This window comes from Homo sapiens, chromosome 12, assembly GCF_000001405.40.
Source record: "Homo sapiens chromosome 12, GRCh38.p14 Primary Assembly".
Taxonomy (NCBI): domain Eukaryota; kingdom Metazoa; phylum Chordata; class Mammalia; order Primates; family Hominidae; genus Homo; species Homo sapiens.
The window spans coordinates 47,072,414-47,098,175 of NC_000012.12; the positions used below are offsets into that span (position 1 = coordinate 47,072,414).

At 38.3% G+C, this 25,762-nt stretch overlaps 2 protein-coding genes across 19 annotated transcripts in view; one reads left to right on the plus strand and one right to left on the minus strand.

Moving 5' to 3' along the window:
* Window positions 1-3,293: 3,293 nt before the first annotated feature.
* On the minus strand, window positions 3,294-7,546 carry AMIGO2 (adhesion molecule with Ig like domain 2). Of its 4 annotated transcripts, none has more exons than NM_001370299.1 (3): window positions 7,049-7,546; window positions 6,729-6,835; window positions 4,034-6,652 (listed from the first exon to the last, which is right to left on the minus strand). In NM_001370299.1, the coding sequence occupies exon 3, from the start codon at window positions 6,587-6,589 to the stop codon at window positions 5,021-5,023; it is 1,569 nt and encodes a 522-aa protein (NP_001357228.1). In that variant the 5' UTR covers window positions 6,590-6,652; window positions 6,729-6,835; window positions 7,049-7,546; the 3' UTR covers window positions 4,034-5,020. The 4 variants fall into 4 exon arrangements, with proteins under 4 accessions (XP_047284741.1, NP_862830.1, NP_001357228.1 ...); NM_001143668.1 differs by having other exon boundaries at window positions 4,187-6,652; window positions 6,734-6,835; window positions 7,049-7,538; XM_047428785.1 differs by having other exon boundaries at window positions 3,294-6,652; window positions 6,734-7,546.
* The window catches only part of PCED1B (PC-esterase domain containing 1B), a 157,040-nt gene continuing 138,485 nt past the window's right edge, over window positions 7,208-25,762 (plus strand). For all 15 annotated transcript variants that reach the window (XM_047429873.1, XM_047429870.1, XM_017020207.2 and 12 more), the window contains exon 1: window positions 7,208-7,312. The gene's annotated coding sequence lies outside the window, so the exon portion shown is untranslated. The remainder of the gene's footprint in view (window positions 7,313-25,762) is intronic.

Consider the following 25,762-nt stretch of genomic DNA (forward strand, 5'->3'; position numbering starts at 1 on the left):
CTGACTTGTCTCTGCCACTTTCCTAGAAATTTAAAACAAATTCTCTGATATTCCCTCAAATAGAATGTTTACCCATACATTTGGGTCATTTTTTAATTTAAAAATATTGAATGTAATCACTTATTCATTTCAATATTTTGATATATAGTTTATAACGATAAAGCAGATATTTATTTTGCATATTAGGCAATTTCATGTGTGAAGTGCAACTGGACTAAAAAGAGCCAATAGACTGGAGCCAATAGTTTATAAACCTCTTATCTTCTTAGGTAGATTTCAAATTTTGCTACTTAGTAACACATTGTATTTTATAGGGAAAAAAACATGTTCACCTTTATTATGATTTATAATCCCCTGACCTTCCATTTCTGTTCTCCCCAGACTTGCTGCGAGCATTAGTTCATTCAACTCTTACATTTATAGAGAGCTTGCTTCTCACTCATGCTTTACAAAGTCATTCTATTGGTTAAACGTCTATGCGAGTACTGTGGAGAGATATTTTTTAAAATAATTATCATGATAAAAACAGCTTATTAACTCGGTCACCTGGGAAAATGATTTATCCTTTCCCATCTTTTGCTTTTTACCATCTGTAACAGAGTAATATTTCCTGTCATTTAAGGCTGCTATAACAAGGAATGATAATAAATAAAAACTATCTCACACAGTGTCCCTGGTATTTAGTAGGTGCTTAATAAGTTAAAACCAGTATAAATGCCATATGCACATTTTACAATTGACAAAGTATCTATTTTTATATACTCTGGTCCTTATTGTAAAAGAGCTTCCTTCCCTGGCATCTATCCACAAGCAACAATGGCCGCTTAAGCAGTCCTCTAAATTATTCAAGAGATAGTTATAAGACTTTTTAGTTCTACTTTTTATATATTACCATCCAATATTACTTGCAAGGGCAAATTAATCATCATCTTTCCACACTAACTTTCATATTATAATAAATCATGAATCAGGGGGCTGGCTCTTGGGCAGGGATGAATGAGAGAACCATGAAAAAAATCTTGTGCTTTCTTTAAAAACTATTCTTCTAATATATTGGAGAAGCAAAGAGTTTGCTTCTCCGTAGACGAAATCTGCACTCAAACATCCTTGGAATATGTCCTCACTTTATTATAATCTAATCAAATTTGAAAGCTCCAAAGCTCATTGCTAGGAACCCAATCTGTTGTAGCTGCTTCAAACTAGAAATAGTTTTAACAAATGAAAGAATCAGGGATATAGTCATCTCAAAGTAATTATTCCATGTTCCCCAGTTTAGAAAAATATAAGTCATAAGTTACAGCCAATTTACTCTATGTTTCATTTAGTGTCCGTGAATCAAACTCTTCTGTTTTTCTAATATATGAGAATATTTTTAGAGGGCTAAAATTCTTCTTTTTATTAATAAATGTATTAGCAAGTAAAAGGAATGTATTTTGACATAGCCTCAAATACACAATTTGCTATGGTCCCATTTCAGGATGTGTTTCATCAAAATAGGTAGAATCAGAATAGGTAGAATCAGAATGGCACAGTAAATTTAAAAAAAAAAAAAAGTTGGGCAGGCCTTACCCCAAACATCTTGAATAGGAATCTCTGGTTGAGAAGTGTGCAGGGGGTAGCTGCTGGAAACCCTTGCTTGTTTAGCTTTCCCCTACGAGTCTATTGAGAAACCTAGTTTTGAACCTACTGCTAGATCATTTGGTAAACTAGATGACACTGGAAGGTGACACCAAGCTAGCAGCAGTTATGGCAAAGGAAAAGCAATGATGCTGTAGGATGCTTAGGCTGTATCCTGTTTTAATAGTGCTTCGCCAGAGGATCCCAAATCAAATATCTTTTCAGAATTTGAACTGGTAATGTCTCTTCCTGTTCCTCTGATGTTTCCACCCCCCTAAGTTTAATCTACGTCCCTTGTGATTGTTAGGAAAATGTTTATTTTAAAATATAAAAAACATTTTTCCGTGCAAATAATTCAAGCAATTAAAGCTAAAAAATGAATATATTTTAGTGTCTCTAGACTGAACAGTGAGGACTAATGCAGAAGTTAATTATAAATAAGAAAATCTTTTAGGTCCTTCTTTCAGATTCTAGATCTTGAAAGTGTCTTTAAAATTTTAACTCACAACTATAGAATATATTATCATATGTATATAGGGAATAGTGGACCCAGTATCTTTATTATAATAAAAAATACTCTAAGCCTTGGAAAATTTCACTTTTATGAACTTTGATTGATTTCTCCAGTGAGTTTCCACTTCTCGCAACTATATAATAAAAAATACTAAGTGGCTTAAAAAAAATCAGTTACATAGATTATTACTTGGAAAGAAAATTATATAAAAGGTCTCAGTGAGATAAATTTTAAAAGGGTAAGTTACTTTTGTTCTTATATTTAAAATATATGTGATCAGGCTCCTATAAAAAAATTGGTACATCCAAGAACTTAAAATTCTACATCATAACATTCAGTTTCATACTTTTTTGATCAACAGCCCTTCCTACTTTTGCTCAAAACACAGCTTTGCTTTTCAGTATTTGGGATTTTCTTTCTGCTTTTGTTTGTTTGTTTGTTTTGGTTATAAGTATCTTAGTTTCTATCTCAGCTCATCCTATCCTTTTGCCAGAAAGCCATTCCTTACTCCTAGCACTGTCCATATTTCCCTGGCAAATGCAACACTTACTTTCATAGGATCAAGGATTTGAGGAATGGAAGAACCTTAGCGGTCCCTTCCGAAAAAGATTTAATTTAGGAATCCTCTCTCCAACTTCCTTGTCAGAGGATGGTCCTAGCTCTATTAAACATTCCCGGAATATCACATTGCTGGAGAGCTTTCATGGATCAAGAGGTTTCCCTTGTGTCCAGACTAGCTGTATGATCCTAAACAAATCACAGCATCTCTTGAGTCTGCGTTTCTATAAAGCAAGAAGAGGTGATGATTTCCAAGGTCATACAAGTCACAGAATTCTTCCTAATTATTTTAATGGCAGTAAGCAGAATAAAATGCTTGCTTGTAACATCTTTGGCTCTGAAGGATATTGTCCAAAGGGTGAGGTTGGTGTTTAAGGGGCAGGGACAGTAATTTTTAACACCATCCAATAGGGACTTTTCAATGCTACCGAGCAGCGGATCTACATACTGTTCCCTAAAAGGACACCTCCTGGCTACTTGTTCCTTAACTTCCCGCTGCCCAGTCTGCCACTGAAAGCCCCACATGGCACTTAGGGAGCTCTCACCATGCATCCCTGATTATCGTTATTACTATTACTATTCTGATTTGTTCACAGAAAACCATTACTACCAGTCAGTGGTTGATCTTCTATCCTTATCTACTTATCTGCAATATTTTTCACTGTTGCCCACTCCCATTCTTTAAAAATTATCTTCTTTCTTAGCCCCAGGACAATCAATCTTTGATTCTCCTTTGCAATGTTTTGATCACTTTTTTATGCCCATCCCTTAAAAAGGAGTCATTTCTTTGGACCTCCAATCTTCACCAGGGAGAATGCTAAACCCCAGCTCTCCTTCTTTCCCTGCCACTGTTTGACCTTACACAGGTCGTATTCTCTCTGGGCCTCATTTGTCCCTGAGAAAAGAGAAGGAGCTGGAGTGATGATGTGGAACATCTCTTCAAGCTGTACACTGCTATGCTAGTCATCTTAATCCCATTCCTGTATTCCTTCAGTATGTGGTAGAGTTTCAGAAAGCAAGTATAGGTCTGTGATGATGCTAATACCACCAAGAAATCATTCATTCCAGTATGGGGAGAAACCTTAAACACCATCTGGTCTGAAACCTTTGTTTTACAGATGAGGGAACCTAGGTTCAGAGAGGGTACTTGATTGCCTCAAAGCAGAGACAGGATAATAAGGAGGTCTCCTGGGCTCTCACTTGTTGCAAAATAAATTTGAGTGTTTTCTGGATCTGGCTAAAGTGCACAATGATATCAGAGTAAAACGTCATACGGAAGGTATAAATTGATCTAGAACACATTAAAGCCTTCCCCTCCCCCTTTAAAAAAATCAACTTTAAGAATTTTGGAGAGAGATTTGCTATCAGTGGTGCTTTATACAAAATAGCATAATCTGATAACATAAGACATTTTAGATTTATGTTTTTAAATAGCCAAATAAAACAAAATATCAAGTCACAGATTACATATATTTACATTAATTCAAATGTCCAAAGCACAGTACAGTAGGGTCTATTTAATAGTTCACATAATTTAAGATTTACATATACACAAGCACATGAACCAATATTAGTTTGCTAGAACAGGGATTTAAGAAGTTACTCAGACATTTTGGTATTGACACTTACATATTTATGGCAACAAATTATGATGACTTTAAATTTTCAATGAGATCTTTTGTACAAGAATACAGAATGGGAAGAATGTACAAAATGAAAAGACAGGCAAACAAATGTACTTTCCTTGCACTATTTCTATAACACCATATAGGATGTGGCATTATCCAGTACATTTTATCAGTGTAGTCTATTCATTCTGGTCTAAAACGGTAATTTTGGCTGAATAACCCCCAAATCTAACTTTGCTTTAGGCTTTATAATTAATTGATGCTTGATTCTTCTTTCTACATCTTTTAAAAATGAAATTGGACACTAGTGTTTTTCTTTAAAATAACTCTGGTACTAGTAAGTTAGCAAAGTCTATTTTTAAAGGACACTAATACATAAAGTTTATTTTTTCTTTCAATATCCTAAATAAAGGGACAATGGGAGTCATATCACCTTTGGGCCTACTCTGAAATTACCAATAGTGCTAAAAGCTAAGATATTGTGATCTAGAACTTAAACTTTGGAAAACAACCCCATCTTTCTATGGCACATTGAGGAACTGAAGTACTTTACCTCATTTCCTACCAATCATTTTAAGAGAATTTGGTTGTATTTCAAAGAACAAAACAACACAATTTCTGTCCTGCTGTTTATTTTGCAGACCACACACAAAGTTAAATATGAACAGATTAAATTATGACATCATACAAATATAGGCACAAATTAAGTGGACGCCACAAAAGGTGTGTCAGAAAACACTGAATTGACTGAATCTGAGTCAGATTTCCCCCTCGTGGACTTTAGGATGCCCTCAGCTATCACTGCCTCGCTGGGAAAGAGCCTGACTTTCCCGTTCTGCCCTGCTGCAGTATCCTTCAGGGGTTCCAAAAACACCACTCTTTTACCTGCACCTGCCTTCCGTTCATCAGCGGAGGCATCACTAGCGGGGCCAGGACTGAGAATCGATGAATGGGCATTGCTTTGGTGTAGCATATTTTTCTGTCTCTTGGTTTTACACTTGCAGGGGCATGGAGTCAGATAGAGGTACAAAAGTACCAAAACGATACTGGCCACGCAAGCAGCAAGAGTGGTAAAAGCTGTGTTAAATGCCTCATGAGCATGGGATCTGCTTACAGTGAAATTGCTCACATTTATTGTGACGTCCACAGTTTCATTTAACAGGCGTTGCTTATTCATTGCGATACAAGAATACACTCCAGCATCCTCAAAACGAGGGCTTTCTATAACCAGACTTCCATTGTGAAACACGTAAAAGTTTTCCATCTCTTTATCCGGCTCTAGCAGTCTGTTATCTGGACCCACCCAGATGAAATCCGTATTTGCATTACCTGTCTTGCTGTCACAGTGGACCATCAGTCTTTCCCCGACCTGAGCCTCATGAATAAAGCCAAGCGCACGAAAGGAACCATTGATGATGCTGTCAGAGCAATTCATAAAGCTATCCTGGAGCAGAAGTACCTGACGCGAGTGCCTGGAGTCAGACCACAGGCGACAGGTGTAATCGTTCTTAAAATCCATCACTGAGCTAAAGTGCCTACGATACCAAAAGACCAGCAAGGAGTACAGGGAACAGTCACAGACAAATGGGTTTCCATGAAGGTAGATGCCTCTCAGCTGTTTTCCTGGCACTAAATTTATGTGGTGCATTGGCATGGAAGGAATTCGGTTATAAGAAACATCTAAAAACATCAGTTCTGCCAGCTTGAACCTTCCAACATACAAATCCATCGGAAACTGTGTGAGAAAATTTCCACTTAAGTAGAGTTTCTGCAACTGGGAGAGCCCTCCAAACGCTGAAGGATCGAGATAGGATATGTGATTGTTGTAAAGCAGAAGCACTTCCAGAACCTTCAACTCTTGGAATACAGCATTTTTCACCGTCTTCAGCTTATTGGACGATAAGTCAAGACACTTCAAATTTGGAGTTGTGGAAAAACTGCCCGTGGAAATGCTGGTGATGTTGTTATGACGAAGAATTAGGGTGTTCAGCTTTGCAAACGATACTGGAATCCACTCAGAATCCAGAAGCCCAATTCTGTTATAACTCAGGTCCAGTCTCTTAATCAGTCTGAAAAGGTTCCCAGGCACCTTGGACAGGTTTTTGTTGGTGCAGCTGACGATGTCAGTGGCACAGATGCAAGCGGTGGGGCACACCCCAGAGGCACCAGGGCCCACAGTCACTGTGATCATCAGCAAACACAGCAGCTCCCTGCAGCCCGGTCTGACGACGGCTCCAAGCAGGGTGGGCAGAGTGTGTACACGTAACGACATTATGGTCGCCTCTGAGTCTCTTCCCGGTGTCTTTTCCACCGGCTCAGCCTCCCACCAGTGAACCTGGCAAACAATTAATAATTCAGAGGGAGTAAAAAGCAGAAACTGACTACCACTAGTTAACCCATAAGAGCCATACCTTACTTTCTTTCCAATAACTTTTGAAATGGGTTTTATTTCACAATAGGGAGCTCTGTGTTGCCTCTTCACTGTTAAATGTATTTTTTCCTCTTTCCTGGGTTAGTCCTGCTTATAAAAATGTACAGTCACATTCTCTCCATACAACCCACCGTCTCACCCACCATCAGAAACTCAATTTTTTCCTAAGGTGCATCCTGCGTTGTTGTTGTTGTTGTTGTTGTTTTAAACTCCCTCCAACAGACACAACTATACGCAAACGTACGCTACAAACAATTAAACGGAAATACTTAGCAACCACCCATCCAGGAAAAAACTCACGGTGCTGGGGAGCCTCGTGGGCTCCGGGGAGGCTGCCTACGCAGTGCCTTCCGAAGGTCTGCGCGTCCGTCTGTCCGTGTCTGTCACTCTTGCACCTTCCGACTTCCTTTCCCTCCGGCTCCCGGCGGGCGGCACCCTCTAGCCGGCTCTCAACTTTGAGGAGTTTCAAGCAGCCGCGGCGGCAGCAGCAGCCCTGGACGCAGCAGCCAAGCTCTTCGCTGGCTCCCGGGGGCTCTCCCGGGTTCCTCTCATTGCAGGCTGAAGGTACCGCCTCGGCGCTCTGGCCGCCGTGTGCCCGCGCGCGGGGCGCCCCGCTCCCAGAGCCGGGGCCGCGGGAGGGGGCGCAGGCAGCCGGGCGGCAGCGGGCGGCCCCGCCTCTCCGCACTCGGGAGGCTGCAGGACCCGGGGTTCCCGCGCGCCCGGGGCCGGGAGACGGGCTGGGGCGCCGGTCCCACCCCTGCGCGTCCTGCCTCCTGCGGGCAGCAGCTCGGAGCCTGCGGGAGGGAGCAGGCTGGGCGCGTGGTGGGGGGCGCGCGATGCGGAGGGGGCGGCGGCGCAGCCAATCCGAGAGGCGGCCGGCGCCCCCTCATACCGCCCCGCGGCCTCGCCGCCTCCTCCCGCTTTCCTCCTCCAGCTCCCACCCGGACCTCTAGAACGGCCGCGCAGAGCGGGGAGGGGGCAGGGGTCCACACCAGAGGCCCAGACTCTGGTCCTTGAGTCAAGATGCCCAACCCACTCGCCTACCAATTACGTCCCTTCGTCCAGCTCCAAGCCGGGCGGTAATGGGGTCCAGGAAGGCTAAAGGGGACACGCCCAGCCACCGAGGGAGGGGTCTCACCCTTGGAGACCCACTTCGCGGCGGCCGCACAGGTCACGTCTCTCTCCCCACCCAGGCCAAGGAATCCCCGGACCTCTTAGAGCTTTGCTTTGGGGCAAGGGCCAAGGAGGCTTTGCCTGCGCCAAGTGCAGTTGACTGTCTGGGTTTACAAAATAAACCCAGAAGCAGCCTGACGTCTCCGCTCGTTTCTAGGGAGGAGGTCGCGGGGAGGGAAGTCGGGAACGTTTCCTCTCCACAGGGATATCTGCTGGGAGGAAGTAACCGGGAAATCGCCACGGGGACACCCCTCACCTCCCTGGGAAAGTTCTATCCCTTTCCTGACTCAGGAGGCGGCAACAGGGATGGTGTCCAATTCAAGAAGGAGGAGGGCAGGAAAGAAGGCTTGGAGCCGACCTTCCGGCTGGAATGCAAAGATAAGAGTATTAACCCAAATAATAATAATAATCCCAGAGCAGACCTTTTTTTCTTTTTTCTCTCTTCTCCTTCCCCTCTTCTCTCTCCCTCTCTCTCTCCCTCTCTCTCCTTTCTCTTTCGTTCTCTCTCTCTCATTTCCTCTGTCTCTGTCCCCGCCACCTCCCCGTCTTTTGCAAGCGTGCTCGTGGCGCGTGCGGGACAGGGAAGTAAGGGGCGTGTGCGCGGAGGCTCTTCATCCCTTCCGGAGATGCCGCGGCCGACCAGCGCGCTTTGGTTCAGCAAGCACAGAAGGTGCAAGCCGAACAAGGCCATTCAGAAATGAGGTGGAGACTATGAGGCTGATGAGCTCTACGATTAAAAATCCATTTTTGTTTAATTCCAAGATAAGTTTTAACGATGGGATTTGAGTGAGTCAGATCGCCCATTTGGCCATTATATCCGGATTAAAAGAAATAAATTACTGCCTTGACAAAAGATGCCAACCACAGTGGAATGAAAAGCAACCAAATTGAGGAAACAGTTGGGGCAGGATAGATAACTTGTAATATTACTTAAAAATAAAAATGATGAGGACAACCAACTCTTCCTCCCCTCCCCCGCGCACCTTTTCACTTGAGCAATCTTGAATTTAGTGAAAGTTGTTTCCTACATGGTCCGTGAGTCATTGCTGTGGTCAGGCAGATTTGTTAGACCAACACCTAATTTAAATAGAATTGTTTGTGGAATAAAGCCGGGCTAGCACTAATAAATCTAGGCATTTTCAGATGAGGACAACTTGATTCAGATTAATTTATTTCATGAAAGTTGAATTTTATCATAAGAACACAGCCTAAAATGCTTCATGCAAGCATTTCTTACTGTGTACTTAAAGGGGAGAGGCAGAAGTTGAGATTTTCTAGTATTAGGCCACACTTCCTGGGATTCTCAAAAGCTTGGTCTCCAGGACTTCAATTTTATAGAGTTAGAATAGTTAATACAGAGGAATAGAATTAAAATCGCTCAGAGGAATATTTTTTAAATGACTAATAAATGACCAGGTTTTTGCAGGATTTTACTAATTAACATCGTATTTTAAGGAAACCATGAAGGCAGAAGAAAGACCTGTATTTAATGCAAAAATAGTCTAAAAAGAATAAGTGATTCAAAAAAATGGAAACAGGAAGGTTATATTATTATAACTACAGGCATATTGTAGAAACATTATGCAGAGATTACACAGCAAAAGTAAACTAAATGCACTCAAAATCCATAGACAAGGCTATTTATCCATTTGAAGACCTGATTTGGGGGATTTCACATGTTTGTGAAAGGGAAGAACGTTGTAAAAGGATTGAGTTTACTAGCTGGGAGGAAAGAAAGATAAGAGTTGATCTTAAGGTATAAGACGTGACCTTATTTTGTGGAGGATAACATTTTTATCTTTCTAGCATCCCTTCTCCTTCTAACAGATTCCCTCTTTCCACTAGAAGGTAAATTCCAAGAGGATAGCAGTTTTATCTGTTTTGTGTATTGCTGTATTCTCAGCTCTCAGAACCCTGCTTAACACATTCAATAAATTTTTGATAAATGAACTGATGAACAGGGAACCTATTCAAAGTGGTTAAGATAACGGTTTACCCCAACTGAATCTGCTGGTTGCTGTCCTGCCTTTTATGCTTTGAAAGCTTGTCTTAAAAAAAAGGAGAAGAAAGAGAAAGAGGAGTCCTGTAAATGTTATTTGAGTCCTGGATCTGGTAGTACCTGAAGGCCACTGCATACTTTTACTTCCTTTTTAATTATATTTTCCACCCCACCCCCTTTTTTAGCTTAAATTATTTTGAGTTGCATGTCACTTGTGACGGACAGAGTACTAACACATGTAATGATGGTGATAATAAATATGTACTGAGCCTTTATTATATGCCAGACACTGAGCTATGCGTTTTACATGCATTATTTCATTTATTGCTCACCACAGCCCTGTGACATTATATAATCCTATAACCCAGATGGTAAACAACTGTGTTCCAAATTATTTGAAAATGAAATGGGATGCAATTATCTCAAGGTTCTATTTGAAGGATTTAGATTAAACAGAAGAGAGACGTTTCTGCCAGGGTGGTTCCAACCTGGAATGGGTTGCCAAGACAGATGGTTGAGTTGCCTTCTCAGGAGTTTAAAATAGGATGCGATAGATATTCCTCTGGCCTCTTCCACATGACATAATACATTGGAATTTTTGACCATTCAGTAATGACTCCAAGGGATAGTAGAATGTGGCTTGACACTTGACATAATTCTGAATCTAGTATGCTGAGAAGGGGGTGTGGTCATGTGAGTGTCTAGCTGGGTTTGGAAATACTATCTGCCTGAGGCAGTAATTTGAGGTGATGAAATCACAGGAGTTCTAGCCCTGTAATTTCCACAATTTCTCAGGTTGTAATCAAAGATTTAAGTAATTAGAGATATGAGACAAGAAATTAATAGCACATGTTTGATGATTCTAAGTCATTTTTACTAATAATTAACACTTCAATAGCACTTTATGTCCTAAGAAGGGCTTTCACATTCTTTATCTCCTTTGACTCTACCACGCGTCCTGTAGTCAGGTGGAATTTATACACTGGCAGATATCTTGTTGCCTCTTTTTTCGGCGTGAGGCACACTGGGTGTTCTTTGGAGATGGAGCTCACTGGGGTCACTGATTGCTGCATGCAGGAGCTTCCTGTGGAGTTTCATCACTCTGGCGGGCAGCACTCTTAATAGGATTTTTACAGTGTAACTTAGCTTGAACCCACAAGAAAAACATACCTTTGCCCAACAACTATGGAAGTGCACTCAGCTCCTACAGCATCCTGTTCTTCTCTTGGCCTGCTCCAGTTGGTTTTTGTAAATTGCCTAAGATTTTTTATAGAACCAGATCTCTCACCCCATCCTGTGTCTTTCATTATATGGAGATACATTTTCTGGGAAAACTCAGACTCCAGCTCCTGTGCTTTCTGAACTCCAGGAGGCATGGGTCAGCTTATGGCATGTTTCTCTGGACGCTCCCTTTACTTGGCTGGAAATGGGGGGATAGAATGGGAGTATTCAGTATTCTGCAGGAGGTACTGCATGTCCTCCCCAGGAAGAGCTCACAATGGGGCTACTCTTTAAGCAGTCTCCACTCACTCATCTGGTTGGTCTGTCTCTTATCTTCATTGACATAGGCCGGACAGTTTTTTGTTTTTTAATTCACTTGAGATAAAATCCACATGACATAAAATTCACCATTGTAACAATTTTAAAGTGCGCAGTTCAGTGATTGTTTAATATATTCACAATACTGTGCAACCATCACCACTATCTTAATTACAGAATACAGATGCTCCTCAATTTACAATGGGATTACATTCCAAAAAAAACTCAATAAATAAGTTAAAAGTGCATTTATTACACCAAATCTACTGAACATCATAGTTTAGCCTAGCCTGCCTTAAATGTGCACAGAACACTTACACTAGCCTACAGTTGAGCAAAATCGTCTAACACAAAGTCTATATTATATTTAAAAAAGTGTTGAATTGCTCATGGAATTCATTGAATACTATACTGAAAGTGAAAAACAGAATGATTGTATGGGTACTTGAAGTATGGTTTCTACTGAATGTGTATCACTTTTGCACCATTGTAAAGTTGAAACATCCTAAGGCAAACTGAACCATCATAAGTCAGAGACTGTCTGTATTTTCATCACCCCAAAAAGAGGTCCTATGCCCATTAAGCAGTTACTCCTATTTCCCTTTCTCTCAGCCCCTGGCAACCACTAATGTACTTTCTGTTTCTATGGATTTGCCTATTCTGGACATTTTATATAAATGGAATCATTCAATATGTGTTTTTTTGTGTCTGGCTTCTTTCACTTAGCATGTTTTCTAGGTTTGGACTGGGATTTTTAGCTAAGGGTTGCACAGAATCTGTTAGGATCACGCTGTTGAAAGACCTGCATAGGTTAGCTGCACTTTAACTTAGAATGTGGTTGTGGGGACCAAAGTTCCACTTACCCAGAGTCTTGAATTATAAAAGTATTAAAACTCTGTGTGATTGCAGAAACCTACCAAAATTACAAGGTGAGGAGATTTAAGAGGTGATATAAAATTTAGCTTCAGCAGAAAACATTTAGGCTGGGATCGGTGGCTCATGCCTGTAATCCCAGCACTTTGGGAGGCCGAGGCTAGTGAATCACTTGAGGTCAGGAGTTGGGAGACCAGCCTGGCCAACATCTCTTCTGGCAAATCCCCGTCTCTACTAAAGTTACAAAAATTAGCCAGGCATGGCAGCACACACCTATAATCCCAGTTACTCAGGAGGCTAAGGCACGAGAATCGCTTGAACCTGGGAGACAGAGGTTGCAGTGAGCAGAGATCACATTATTGCACTCCAGCCTGGGTGACAGAGCAAGACTCCGTCTCAAAACACGAAACAAAAAACCCATTTAACCTCTCCAGGAACCTCAAGAGTTAATTGAGGATGTAACAATTGACTATTTCTAAAGTTCCTTTCAGCTTCAAAAAATTCACTTGATTTTCTGATAACAATGTGTCCTCTGTTGCCCAAGTCCCGGGAACCCTGGGTTTTGTTTCTTCACCTGCCAGTTAGCACTGCCCTGGGCAGACACAGACTCCTCTTCTCTCTCCAGTGAATGACGTCAGTCCCATTGCTACTTCAGGAAAAGTAACTTAAGGCAAGTTCTTTATAGTTGAGAGGTCACTTTAATCTATTAAGTATTCTATTGTGATGGGTATCACATGTTCATTGCAGTATTTTCTTAATGTGCAACAGGGATGTGGGCAAATAAATTCGGGTACATCCATCTGGTATGATATACATTCTTACTGAAATAATGTGGCAGGGGACTATCTGGTGACAAAGCAAAAAAATTACAAAATGGTATGGTTCCAGTTTTTGTAAAAGAAAAAATATATATGTATGTTAATTATATGGTATGCATAGATAATCAAATGAAAAATTATGTACCTGTGCCATAACAGTGTTTCTTTTAACATATTTCTTCTTTTTCCTTATCTGTACATCCTATTATTCTAGAGTCCTTTGTGAGAAGAAAAAGTACAATGAAAACTTAATAGTTTTTAAAGTCATGTGCATCAATGTTTCTGCTTAATTTGGTTCCTACTTCAGAATCAACTACTGTACTTTCAGAGAGAAAAACCCTCTTCTGGCTTCTCAGGCAGGAAGTGACTCAGACCTCCCCTGTTTGAGGCATGATAATTGCTGTCCTGCTTTAGCTCTGCATTGTTTATTCGGCGGATATTTACTGAGCGCCCACTGTGTGCTAGGCGCTATTCTTTAGTCTGAGAATTATAGCCATGCATAAATGCTGCAATAGCCATACAAGTCTGACTAAAATTAGGCACATAATAGACATTTAAATATTTCTTATTGCCCAATTGTCCATATTCTCAGCGTTCAGGGTTCAACAAACTTGGGTGTGATCAACTCACAATAGCTATGAGTCCTCCCCGATGGCACATTCTTAGTCCAGCCTTGGTGAAGGTGGCATGGTCCCCTGCCCACACTGCTTTTTGTTTTTCAATGAGAAATAAAAATAAAAATAACAACTAAAAAGATTTTTCCTAATTCTTAAAGTACTGTACTATGTGCTTATGGTAAAAAAAAAAAAAAAAAAAAAAAGGAAGTTACAGGAAAAAGAATCAAAGAATGAATGCCATTTACAATCTCACTGGAAGGTTACAATTTCTGCTCAAAGAATAAATCCATTGAAGTGAGGAACCTGAGAAGTTTGCAAAAGGATGATCTTTTTTCTTTGTCATAATTATATAATGAGAGAAACAAGCAAACCTCTTTTTAAATACTTTAACATTCTCAGCTTTAGGAATAAAATAAGCAGATGAAAATTAGCTTTAAAAAACTCAGTGTGTCAAAACTATGCATCTAGAATTATCGTTATCTCTTGAGATTTTGGTCATAAATGGCAGGTGCTCTAGTTTTTATTTTGCTCATTGTTAGCCTGAAGAGGTCATCTGATTGAATTCTTAAACGCTATTATATCCCTCAAAACTGGGGTTAATTTTGCCTCTCTGATAAATATGGATAATATTTAACAAACCCAGTTTAGAGAACTATATGAAGCATTCAGAGTCCTATTTTATGCCCTTTAAAAAATTGGATTTCCTGTAGCAGTAACTAATTTATCATAGCTTTATAAAGGGAATCTAATTATTCAAAGTAATATCTAATTTGAAGCAGCCATTATTCACCAACCAACGTTAACACTAAACAAAATAAAATTGAGAGAGAAAAGAATCAGCTCTCTCCATTATACAGTCAGCACTATTGCAAATACTTATTCAATTACTTTCAGCAAACACAAGGCCCTCTGTGGTGGCTGCTCCATGGGTAATTTGCTCTGGAACTCTGACCTTTCAGTTTGTGACAGTGAAAAGAAACATCACATTAATATAGGAGAAGATAGAAGGACCTCTCGAAAGACCCAAGAAAGTGGTCTTGATAATAATACCTACCACTTATTATATTCTCACCATATACCAGGCTTCTCATTTAATTCTTATAAAGGGCTTCAGAGATGGGCATTAGCATCCCCATTTTCTAATGAGGGCCATGGGGCTTTGTTGGTTTATATAACCTGCCCAATATTAGTGGTAGAAGCAGATTTCTCACAGAAATCTGCCTTGCTCTGGATTGATGCTTAACAATTAGTTCTAATGCTTCCCATTTAGGGAGTAGCAAGGTCAGCCATAATTTAAATTCCATTCAGCAAATATTGTTAGTCCTGGCTACACTCCCAGAGCCGTGATATGGTTGCTCTCCTCTAGGAATTTGTAGTATTATTAGAAATAATTATAGGATATAAGGTGGTATAGAATTCAATTCCAAATTGGATAAAACCATGAGCCAAAGTATTTGCAACAGAAAATATATACTTGGGGCATTCAAAAATTCCAAATATTCCAATTCAGAATTTTAGATCTTACTCATTTTGTTGGAAAAGTATCTGATTCAACAAAGTAAATTGTATGCAAATAAAAATATAATCTGGGGAAAACCATTAAACGGTCAGAGATGAAAATTTTCTCTTAGAATTAAGAGTACTAACATGAATCCCTATTGGTCATCTTATCTGTGGCACTCGCAATAAAGAATTATAAGCAAGGAAAGTAGTGTCTCTCTCCTGCACATACCAAGGAACTGAAACACCTTCTAATTAAATGCCAAATAGAGTATTGAATAAAGAATCAAATCCCTGGATTTTGTTCCAGAACATCCATTTATTAACTATATAACTCTAGGTAAATGACTCAACCTTTTGGATTCTCAGCTTCCCCTTTGTAAGATGGAAACGCAGTACTAATATGTGCACTGTTTAATTTCACAAAGTTGACTGAGATGAAACATGTAAAAAGTGCTTTGGTGAACTATAAAGCTGTAAAAGAGTACTTGCCTTATTGCCCTTGTGCCTTGGATGTGGTCTGACGCAGCACAGATGTTTAACAAATGTTTGCTGAACCTAATGGCTAGGTTTATGTGCAAAATAAACAGAGCTGGAGAGGTGTCTCAACACAATGATGTTTGTACTAATTATGTGGCTCCCCCGAGCCTGGCTGTACCAGAGTCCAGCAGGTCCTCATTTCACTCAGCTCTGCCTTACTCTCCATGGTGCTCTCTCTCAGCTGCTGCAGACTGGAATGAGTCCACTGGTCTGCATGCCTAGGCTTCTCAAAACCCCTGGGGACTCGAAGGTGGCATGTTGTGGGGAGCAACCTCAGTGACCTTTAGTAGAGAGTGAGGGTCAGCAATCTCAAAACACACTGGAGAGTACCCAAAGGGGTTCTGAACTGCATGGAAAGCAAAATAAATAAAAAATAATAATAATCACTTTCTCCAGAGAGCAGTTTTGACATGCTGCTACTTGCCTCTTGCATTGTGATAAAAATACGTGGTAGGAAATCAATGTAGGTTTCCTTGGCAGCTGTTGTATAGAAGAGGTCAGGTGCAAATCTGAACAAGTTGCTGAAGGATGAGTCTGCTCACAGGCGTTTCCTACTTCATGGAAACAGCCAGATGATAGAAAACATGCTTAACATGACGATTGTTCATATTTATCTCAAAGTAAAATTTTCCATTCACTCAATATTTATTAGAACTACTGGATGCCTAAATTCCTTTTGTCTCAATTTCCTTTCCTGGGAAGGCTCTAAGAACCTTGGCTCCTTGGCTGTATTTTTAGAAACAGAATATGCATTGCCACAGTGAACATTAATATGTTTGTTTGTAGGGGTACCTGGGTGCAAGATAGGCAATAGGGTCTTCAGACAGGGCCGTCTTTATAACATTGACTTAGCCCAGCTTGACAGGTCCAGAAACTTGATATTTTTGGTGTCCCAGGGCTAATTTTACACATGGAGAGGGACTTAAAATATAAACCAAAAGGCCAGGCGTGGTGGCTCACGCCTGTAATCCCAGCACTTTGGGAGGCCAAGGCAGGCGGATCATGAGGTCAGGAGATCGAGACCATCCTGGCTAACACGGTGAAACCGATCTCTACTAAAAATATGAAAACAAAAAATTAACAGGGCGTGGTGACGGGCACCTGTAGTCCCAGCTACTTGGGAGGCTGAGGCAGAAGAATGGCATGAACCCGGGTGGCGGGGCTTGCAGTGAGCTGAGATCATGCCACTGAACTCCAGCCTGGGTGACAGAGCAAGACTCCATCTCAAAAAAAAAAAATACATATATATATATATATATATATATATATATATGTATATACCAAAAAACATACCTACCTATCTGGCATTTATTCTCTGGCTGCAAGAGAGCTTTGGGAAGCCAAGTTTATAATCATAAATATGTTTGGTGAGTGTGAAATAATAAAGAAGAGTAATTCATTTGATGACTTGAATGTTTAGTGGTATCAAGCTATTGTGCATGACAAATCCATTGTCACAAGAGAGATACGTTTGCCAATAAGACCAAATATTTAGATGGGCTGGATAAGACACTGTCATCCCCAGGCAGAAGGCATGAAGCAGTTAATCAGTGAAGTCTCTCTCTTTTTTTGAGACAGAGCCTTGCTGTGTCACCCAGGCTGGAGTGCAGTGGCATGATCTTGGCTCACTGCAACCTCTGCCTCCCGGGTTCAAGTGATTCTCCTGCCTCAACCTCCCGAGTAGCTGGGATTACAGGCACACACACCATGCCCAGCTGATTTTTGTATTTTCAGCAGAGACAGGGTTTCACCATGTTGGCCAGGCTGGTCTCAAACCCCTGACCTCAAGTGATCCACCCACCTCGGCTTCCCAAAGTGCTGGGATTACAGGCGTGAGCCACAGCAGTGGGCCTGAAGTCTTAATATACAGGAAATACCATGGCCTCATGATTCTGCTCAAATCAGAAAATTGCCCTTTCTATTAAAGATGATCTCTCCCTATTCCTTTATCAGCCCAATAACGGAGAATGCAAAGACAATACATCATAAATATGGTAGAATGATGATCACACACAAGAGAGGCAAATGGACAACGAACAGAGAACTCATATCAGAAAGACATTATCAGACAGCTGAGGAGCCACGTGGAGAAAAAAGCCAGTGCCCAGAAGAATGTCATGAGATGCAGGCATTTTGCAGAGCCTCAATAAAATCAATATAAATATGTATATCGAATGTGAACTAAACAATTACATAAGCAGAAGTTAAGTTCTGTCCAATCCTTCTGATGGAATGCAAAATTCCAACAAAGACAATCATGAGGCAAGAATCATGTACCATGCATAGAACCGGAGTACCAGAGTAAAGGCAACCACACCCTTGTAACCATCACCCAAATCAAGAAACAGGACATTACCAGCTCTCCAAAAATTCCCTCTGTTCCCTTCTAGTCACTAATTTCCCAGTGGTAACCACTCTGCTGACATCTAACAACATAGATTAGCTCACCTGTTTTTATACTTTGTATAAATGGAATATATGCTTTTTTGTGTCTGGTTTCTACTGCTCATCTTTATGTTGGAGAGATTCATCCATACTTTTGTATGTAGTTGTAAATCATTCTTACTGCTACTGATATAGCCCAAATTCTGTGGCTATATCACAATTGGTTTAACTATTTTGTTGTTCATGGGCCGGTTTGTTGGAACAACATTGGAATATTTGGAACATTGTTCCAAAAATTGGAACAACCATTTGTTCCAACCATCCAACAAATGGTTGTTCCAATTTTTGTCTACTAACAAGTACTGTTGCCATGAACATTCTGTTCCCCCAAATTCCCCCCGATTCTAATTCTTTTGGTGAACATGTGCATACATTTCTAGTAGGTGTATGCCTTGAAATCTGTTTGATGGGTTACAGGTTATGCATATGTTCAACTCTAGTAGTAACTCCCACTTCTCCAAAGTGGTTGTACCAATTTATTATCCCACAAGTGGTATATGATAATTCTTATTCCTTCACGTCCTTGTCAACACTTATTATTTTCCATCTTTTTCATCTTAGCCATTTTCGTGGATAGCAAGTGTTATTTTATTATGGTTTTATGTTATTTTATTATGCATTTCCCTGAGAATTAATAAACAATTTTCTGTATGTTTATTTACACATCTCTTTTATGAGACTTTTGCCCATTATGCTGTTGAGTTGTTCAACTTTTTCTTATTGACTTGCAGGTGTTCTTTATACATTCTAGATTTGTGTTTTTTAATCATATATATGTGTGTTTGCATTGGATATAAATTAATATATGTTAATATTTTTCTCTCACCTTGTGGGTTGCCTTTTCACTCAATTTGGGGGAACAGAAGTTTTTAGTTTCAATGTAGCCAAGTTTATCACATTTTTTCCTTTTATGATTAATGCTTTTTCATTTGCTTATTTTCTATTTAACAAAGGATTGCTGACTCCAAGGTCATGAAGATGTTCTACTCTAGAAGTTTTATTGTTTCATCTTTCAATTATTTCTGCAATCTGTCTGGTATTGACTCTTGTGTGTAATGTGAAATAAACATTAGAATACCTTTTTTTCCACTTGAATGTTGAATTGACACAGCACAATTTATCTGAAAGATTATCCTTTTCCCTACTGCATTGCAGGATCACCTTTATCATAAATCATGCCACCATATATGTGCAGGTCTACTTCTGGATTCCCTGTTGTGTTTCATTGGACAGTTATCTGTTCTTGCACTAGTACCACACAGTTTTGATTGTCATAACTTTATAATAATAGTTTCTGATATCTCACAGTGTAAGTCCTGTATATTTATTCTTCAAGAATAACTTGATGATTTCCAACTTTTACATTTGATATGAATTTTAGGAAAACTTGTCAATTTCTGGAAAAAGAAGAACCTGTAGCTTAGATTTTGACCAAAATTGCATAGATGAATGTATTAATTTGGAGAGAACTAACATCTTTACAATATTGAGTCTTCCAATTATAATGATGCATATACTTCCATTTATTTAGCTCTCCTTTAATTTTTCTCAATAATATTTTAGTTTTCAGTTAGAGATCTTGCACATCTTTAATTAGATTTATTTCTAGGTGTTTGAGTTTTTTGATGCTATTGTAAATATGTTTTATTTTCTATTTGTTTATTGCCAATATATACAAATGCAACTAGTTTTTATATGTTGACTGTATATCCGGTTCCCTTCCTATATTCTCTTATTAATTCTAAGAATTTGTCCTTAGATTCTCTAGAAATTTTGAATGTGCATGATCTTATTGTCTGGAAATGACAATTTTATTTCTTGCTTTCCAATCTCCATGACATTTATTTCTTTCTCTGACCTTTTGCATTGGCTAGACCTCCTTCTACAATGTTAGACTGAAATGATGACAGTGGTCATTCTTGACCCAGTTCCAGTCTTAGGGGGAAGTTTTCAACATACTACCATTGAGAATGATGTTTGCTACGGATATTTTGTAGATATTCTTTATGAGATTAAGAAAGTTCTGTTCTTAATTGATTACGTGTTTTCATCACAAATGGATGTTGAATTTATCAAATGCTTTTTCTGCATTTGAGATGATTGTATGATTTTACTCCTTTTTCTGTTAATGTGGTGAATTATGTTTATGATTTTTGAATGGTAAGCCACACTTGTACACTTGGACTGAACTTGCACTCCATTTACTGTATCAATGGATTTGGCTTCCTAATATTTTGTTAAGAATTTTTAAGTAATGTTTATGAGAAAGATGGGCTTGCAGTTTTCTTTCTCACAATCTTGTCAGGGTTTAAAAATCAAGTTTATGCTATTACAATTTTTTTTAAGTCTGGAAAGCTCACCTTCTCTTTCTGTGTTCTGGAAGAATTATACAAGACAGCTGTTAATTTTTCCTTAAGTGTTTGGAAGAATTCACTGATAAACTATCTGAGCCCAGGCTTTTCTTTTTTAAAATAATGGGCTTAATTTTAAAAAAAAATACATCCTAAATTATTGATATTTTCATCTCTTCTCCTGTCAGTCTTGGTAAATTGTATTTTCAAAGAGTTTGTTTATTTCATCCAAATTGTCAAATTTATCAGCATAAATTTGTTTTAAGTTTCCTTTTATTGTCCTTTTGATGCTTGTATGATCTATAGTGATATCTCCTTTTTCATTGCTGTTGTTGCGAATTTGTTTTGTCTATTTTTTTTTCTTTTGATCAGTCTTCTTTAGATTTTGATGTTTTTAAACAACTGACTTTGGCTTTATTGTCTTTCTTATATGTTCCTTGGTTTTTGCTTTTATCTTTATCATTTCTTTTTGTAAGTTTGATTCCTGCTCTCTCTCTACTTTCTTGAAATTAACACTTAAATCATTGATTTTCAGGCTTTTTCCTTTCTAATATGGAATATAAGACTATATATTTCCTTCTAAGCACCATTTTAGTTTTTTCACATGATTTTTCAAATGTGATTTTTATTATTTAAGTTTAAGAACTAATTTCTGTTTTTTTTCTTTATCCCATGGATTATTTAGAGTATATTGTTTAATTTTGAGCACTTGGGTTTTTCCTGTTGTTGTTATTGATCTTTAGCTTAACTTCCACTGTGGTCAGAGAAGACATTCTGAAAGATGTCAATATTTTGAAATTGTTGAGACTTTTTTCTTGTTATGATATATTGATTGTAATAAATGTTCTTATGTTCTTTGTATACTTGAAGTGAATATGAAGTGGTCATTAGGTACCATTTTGCATACATGACATTAGATTACATATGTTAACTGTGCTGTTTATATCTTCTATATCCTTACTGATTTTTTTATTTTTCACTTTTTCTGCTATGTGTTTGAAAGAGATGCACTAATGCCTCCCACTGTGAGTGCTGATTTGTACATTTTTTTCTCATTGTTCTGTCCATTTTTGTTTAGTTTATTTTGAAGCTATATTATTAGGTGCACAGAGATTTAGGATTGTGCTCATTTCCTATTGGACTTATTTATTTATAATTATGAACTGTCTCACTTTATCTCTAATAATGTTTCTTGCCTTACAGTTCACATTGTCTGATATTAGTATAGCTAGACAGCTTTAGGAGCAGGGGCAGGTTTGTGTTTGCATGGTATATTTGGCTTTCCTTTCACATTAAACATTTCTTTTTATTAGATTTGAAGATTTGGGTTTGTTTTTTATCTAATCTGACAGTATTTTACTTCAAATTTAGCTTATTTACATTCAGTGTAATCACTGACATCATTGGGCTTATAGCTACCATCTTATTTTTCATTTTCTATTGTGCTCTTTTCTTTTATATTCCTTTTGTTGTCATTTTATGTTCTTTTTTTCGCCCTCTCTTTCCTCTATTTTTTTAATTATTCAAGGATTTCATTCTAAAAACTTGCAAGTTTTACTTCTTTAATTCTAATAGTAACTATCCTAGAGATTGCAATATATATCCTTGATTTATTACAGAATTATACAAATTATCTTTGCCACTCCTCTGATACTGTTAGACCCTTTGACCTTTTAAATGATTTATCCCTCCTGATTTTGTTCTTTTTGCCACACATCTTAGTTCTACATATATTTTATACTACAAACGACGTTATAATTACTGTCTTTTATAATCAATAGTGACTTACAAATATCCATGTTTACCCTCACCAGTGTTTTTTATTCCTTCCTTCATTTCCATGTTTTTCTGTCTGGAATTCTCTTTTCTTTCTCTCTCTCTTTCTTTTTTTTTTTTTTCTTTTTTGAGGCAGGTGTCTCACGTTTTGTCACACAAGCTGGAATGCAGTGGCGTGATCATGGCTCACTGCGGCCTCAACCTCCTGGGCTCAAGCAATCCTCCCACCTCGGCTTCCTGAGTAGCTGGGACTACTGGTGTGTGCCACTGTGCCCACAATTTTTTTTTTTTTTTTTTTTGTAGAGACAAGGTCTTGCTTTGTTGCCTAGGCTGAGATTATTTTCCTTCTGCCTGAAGAACATCCTTTAGTTTTCCTGAAAACATCTTTATTCTACTTTCATATTTGAAGGATATGATTGCAAGATATAATTCTAGTCTGGCAATTATTTTCTTTAAGCTCTTAAAGTTGACAATATTGTCTTCTCGCATCTATAATTTATGTTGATAAATCAACTGTGAATCTTATTGTTGCTTCTTTGAAGCTAATTTCTTTTTTTTCTTCTGGCTGCTTTTATGATTTTTCTCTTTATCTTTGGTTTTCAACAGTTTGACTATGATGTGGTTAGCTACAGTTTTCTTTATCTTGCTCCTTGTTCTTACATCAATACATAGATATTCTTATCCATTATCTCTTTGAATATTGCTTCTCCTCTATTCTCTCTCTCCTTTTTGGAACTCCAATTATATATATGTGAAAAGTTTCATGTGTATCTTGTTCTTGCCATTGTTTCCATTCTTTTTTCTCTTCCTGCTTCAGGAGTAGATACTTTCTATTTATCTGGGTTCCAGCTCACTGATCCAGCCCATTATTCACTAATTATGCTGTGTGTCATCTGCTGTAAACTTATCCATTTGAATTCCTAATTTCAAATATTTTTTCAGTGTTTAGAGTTCTAAAATATACATGTGATTTTTTCACAGATTCCAACCTTCTAGTGAAATTCTCCTTTTATTCATCATTTCACTATTTATTTTTCATGTTAATCATAAGTATTATAAATTCCTTTTCTGGTAACTCCAACTTTTGGCTCATTTGTGGGTCAGACAGATCTGAGAAGCTTGGTTTTTTTTTACTCTGTCTCAGGTACTTTATATTTAGTGTTTACATTCCTAGCCAGAGAAGCATTTATGTAAACACTCTCTATATTTAATGACTCAGTTTAAGAAAATGCTTACAATAATTGAGGTCTCCTTGTTTCTGAACCAAGTTTTATATCAGAAGACCACATCCTCATCTCGGGGAGAAGAGCGAGGAGAGTCATTGTCTAAGCATTCCTGAGCACTACGTCTGTGCTTCAGTGTTCCAGCCCCATGGAAAACCCATTTCTGTACAGTATCATATCCCATAGTTAATCATACTTTTAGATTTTTTAGGAATATTTTAGTGTCATTGCTATTTAGAGATTATCTGTATCTTATATTACACATTAGCTAAACATGCTCTGATAATATAAATGTTATTTGAGCTAATTAGATAAACTTTGATTTCAATAATTGTTCATCTTTAAAACTGATGCAGCTTTATTTTAGGACTAAAGGATTATTTATCTTCTTTATATATAATACACATTATATATTATATATTATATATGGATAGATATAATAGTAATGTAATGTGTACAGCTGTTCACATAAATTAATTCACCTATATTTAGCTTCCCCTGTATCCTGTCCTCTTAAGCACATTGAGGGCAGAGGCAGTTTTCTTGTATCTTGTCACTCTACAGCACCTAACACAATACCTTTCATAAACATAATCTGGGCTTAGCAAGTCTGTGGATTGGATTCACTTGCAAAATCTATCCATTGCTTTAAGAGAAACCAATATTTAAAAGTAGACTTTTCGTTAAAAGGATATTACAGATATTACTTGCTTTGTTTAATAATTATCTGCTTTGGAGATGTGTTTGCATTTTTAATGAGTGCTTTAATGAGCTTCTATTACATATATTAGAAAACAAACTTGGAATAGTGCCACTATGTAAGTTAACTCTGCTGGTTTAAAATATATTTGAGATGGAATTTGATTAAATAATTACCAAAAGTAGATATGTAAGACTGTATAAGATTGCTTTAGTAGCAAGATCAGGCAGCAATATTGATTTTTTAAATTAAGTACTAAATATACCCAGTCGAATTCAAACACTTACTAAATGATATTTTGCAATTTTCAAAAAGCCCTAACATTTAGCCCCTCAGTTGATTCCCTTAATAACTTGATAAATTAGGCAAAAAAGCAAAGAAGAAGAGGATCATGGAGAGCAAGGGATTTACCCACATTTACATTTATATTGGCAGAGTCAGGACTTGAACTGAAGTCTCCTGAGGCCTAATTTGATCTTCTATCTGTATCAACCAGAAATACCTAAAATAACTCATATGTCTATAAAGATAAATGTACCTGTAGAAAATACATCCCTCAAAACACACATTTAATTACAACTTCTTAAACGAGCACCCTCTTCCTTTTTCTTACAGCTCTTTATCCCTAGAGTTTAAAGAATCAAAACACACATAAACATCTCCCTAGAGCAAACATAGGGAGTTTCCTCATGACTGGAAGCCCACATTAAAGCCACGCCTAAGGGAAGAAGGGAAGGCAGGGCTGATAATATTTTGTTTATTTTAGTCCTTCTGCTTAGTTTTTGTTTGCAGGCACTGGACTGAACTTAGTTTTCAGAGCCAGAAATTATCATTGTTTGTGTATCTAAATTTGTTAATACTCTGCTTTTAGAAATTTTTATGTACAATGGATTCCAAGAGTATTTTGGGAACTTCTCAGTGGTGAAATCTAAACTGTGGTTCAGTGAAGAGCCGACAAACACAAACTGCAAAGAGCAGTTGGCACAGTACACTTTTGGAGGCTATACGACTCTTCTGCTCTTCTAGCACAAGGCACGGAGTAGGTGCTTGCTACAGTTTTCGGATGAATGAATGAAAAGTACCTTAGTCCCCAGCACTGTCTCCTCAGTTCACCCAAAGATTCCCTGTGATGGCCGTGCCACCATTACAGCAGCAGTTTATTTTCTGTGCAATTTGTAGAAGAAGAACCAGAAACCAAATTGTTACCCATGCTCCAAATTGTTATCCATGCTCCAAAGACTATTCTTGGTTTTATGCCATAGCAAATAAGGTCTTACCATTTCCAAGTAAGGCTAGCCACATGCCAGTCTGTGAAAAGGAGGCATTTGCTTTTGGGTAGTAGTTGACATGCTTTGGGGCATTTATGCTGCCTCCCCAGCTCCCATCTCAGAGAATTCCTGCTATTCACAGTCGCTGCTGGAAAGGACAGGCTTAAGTGGCCCTATCCCCACTCCATGTCT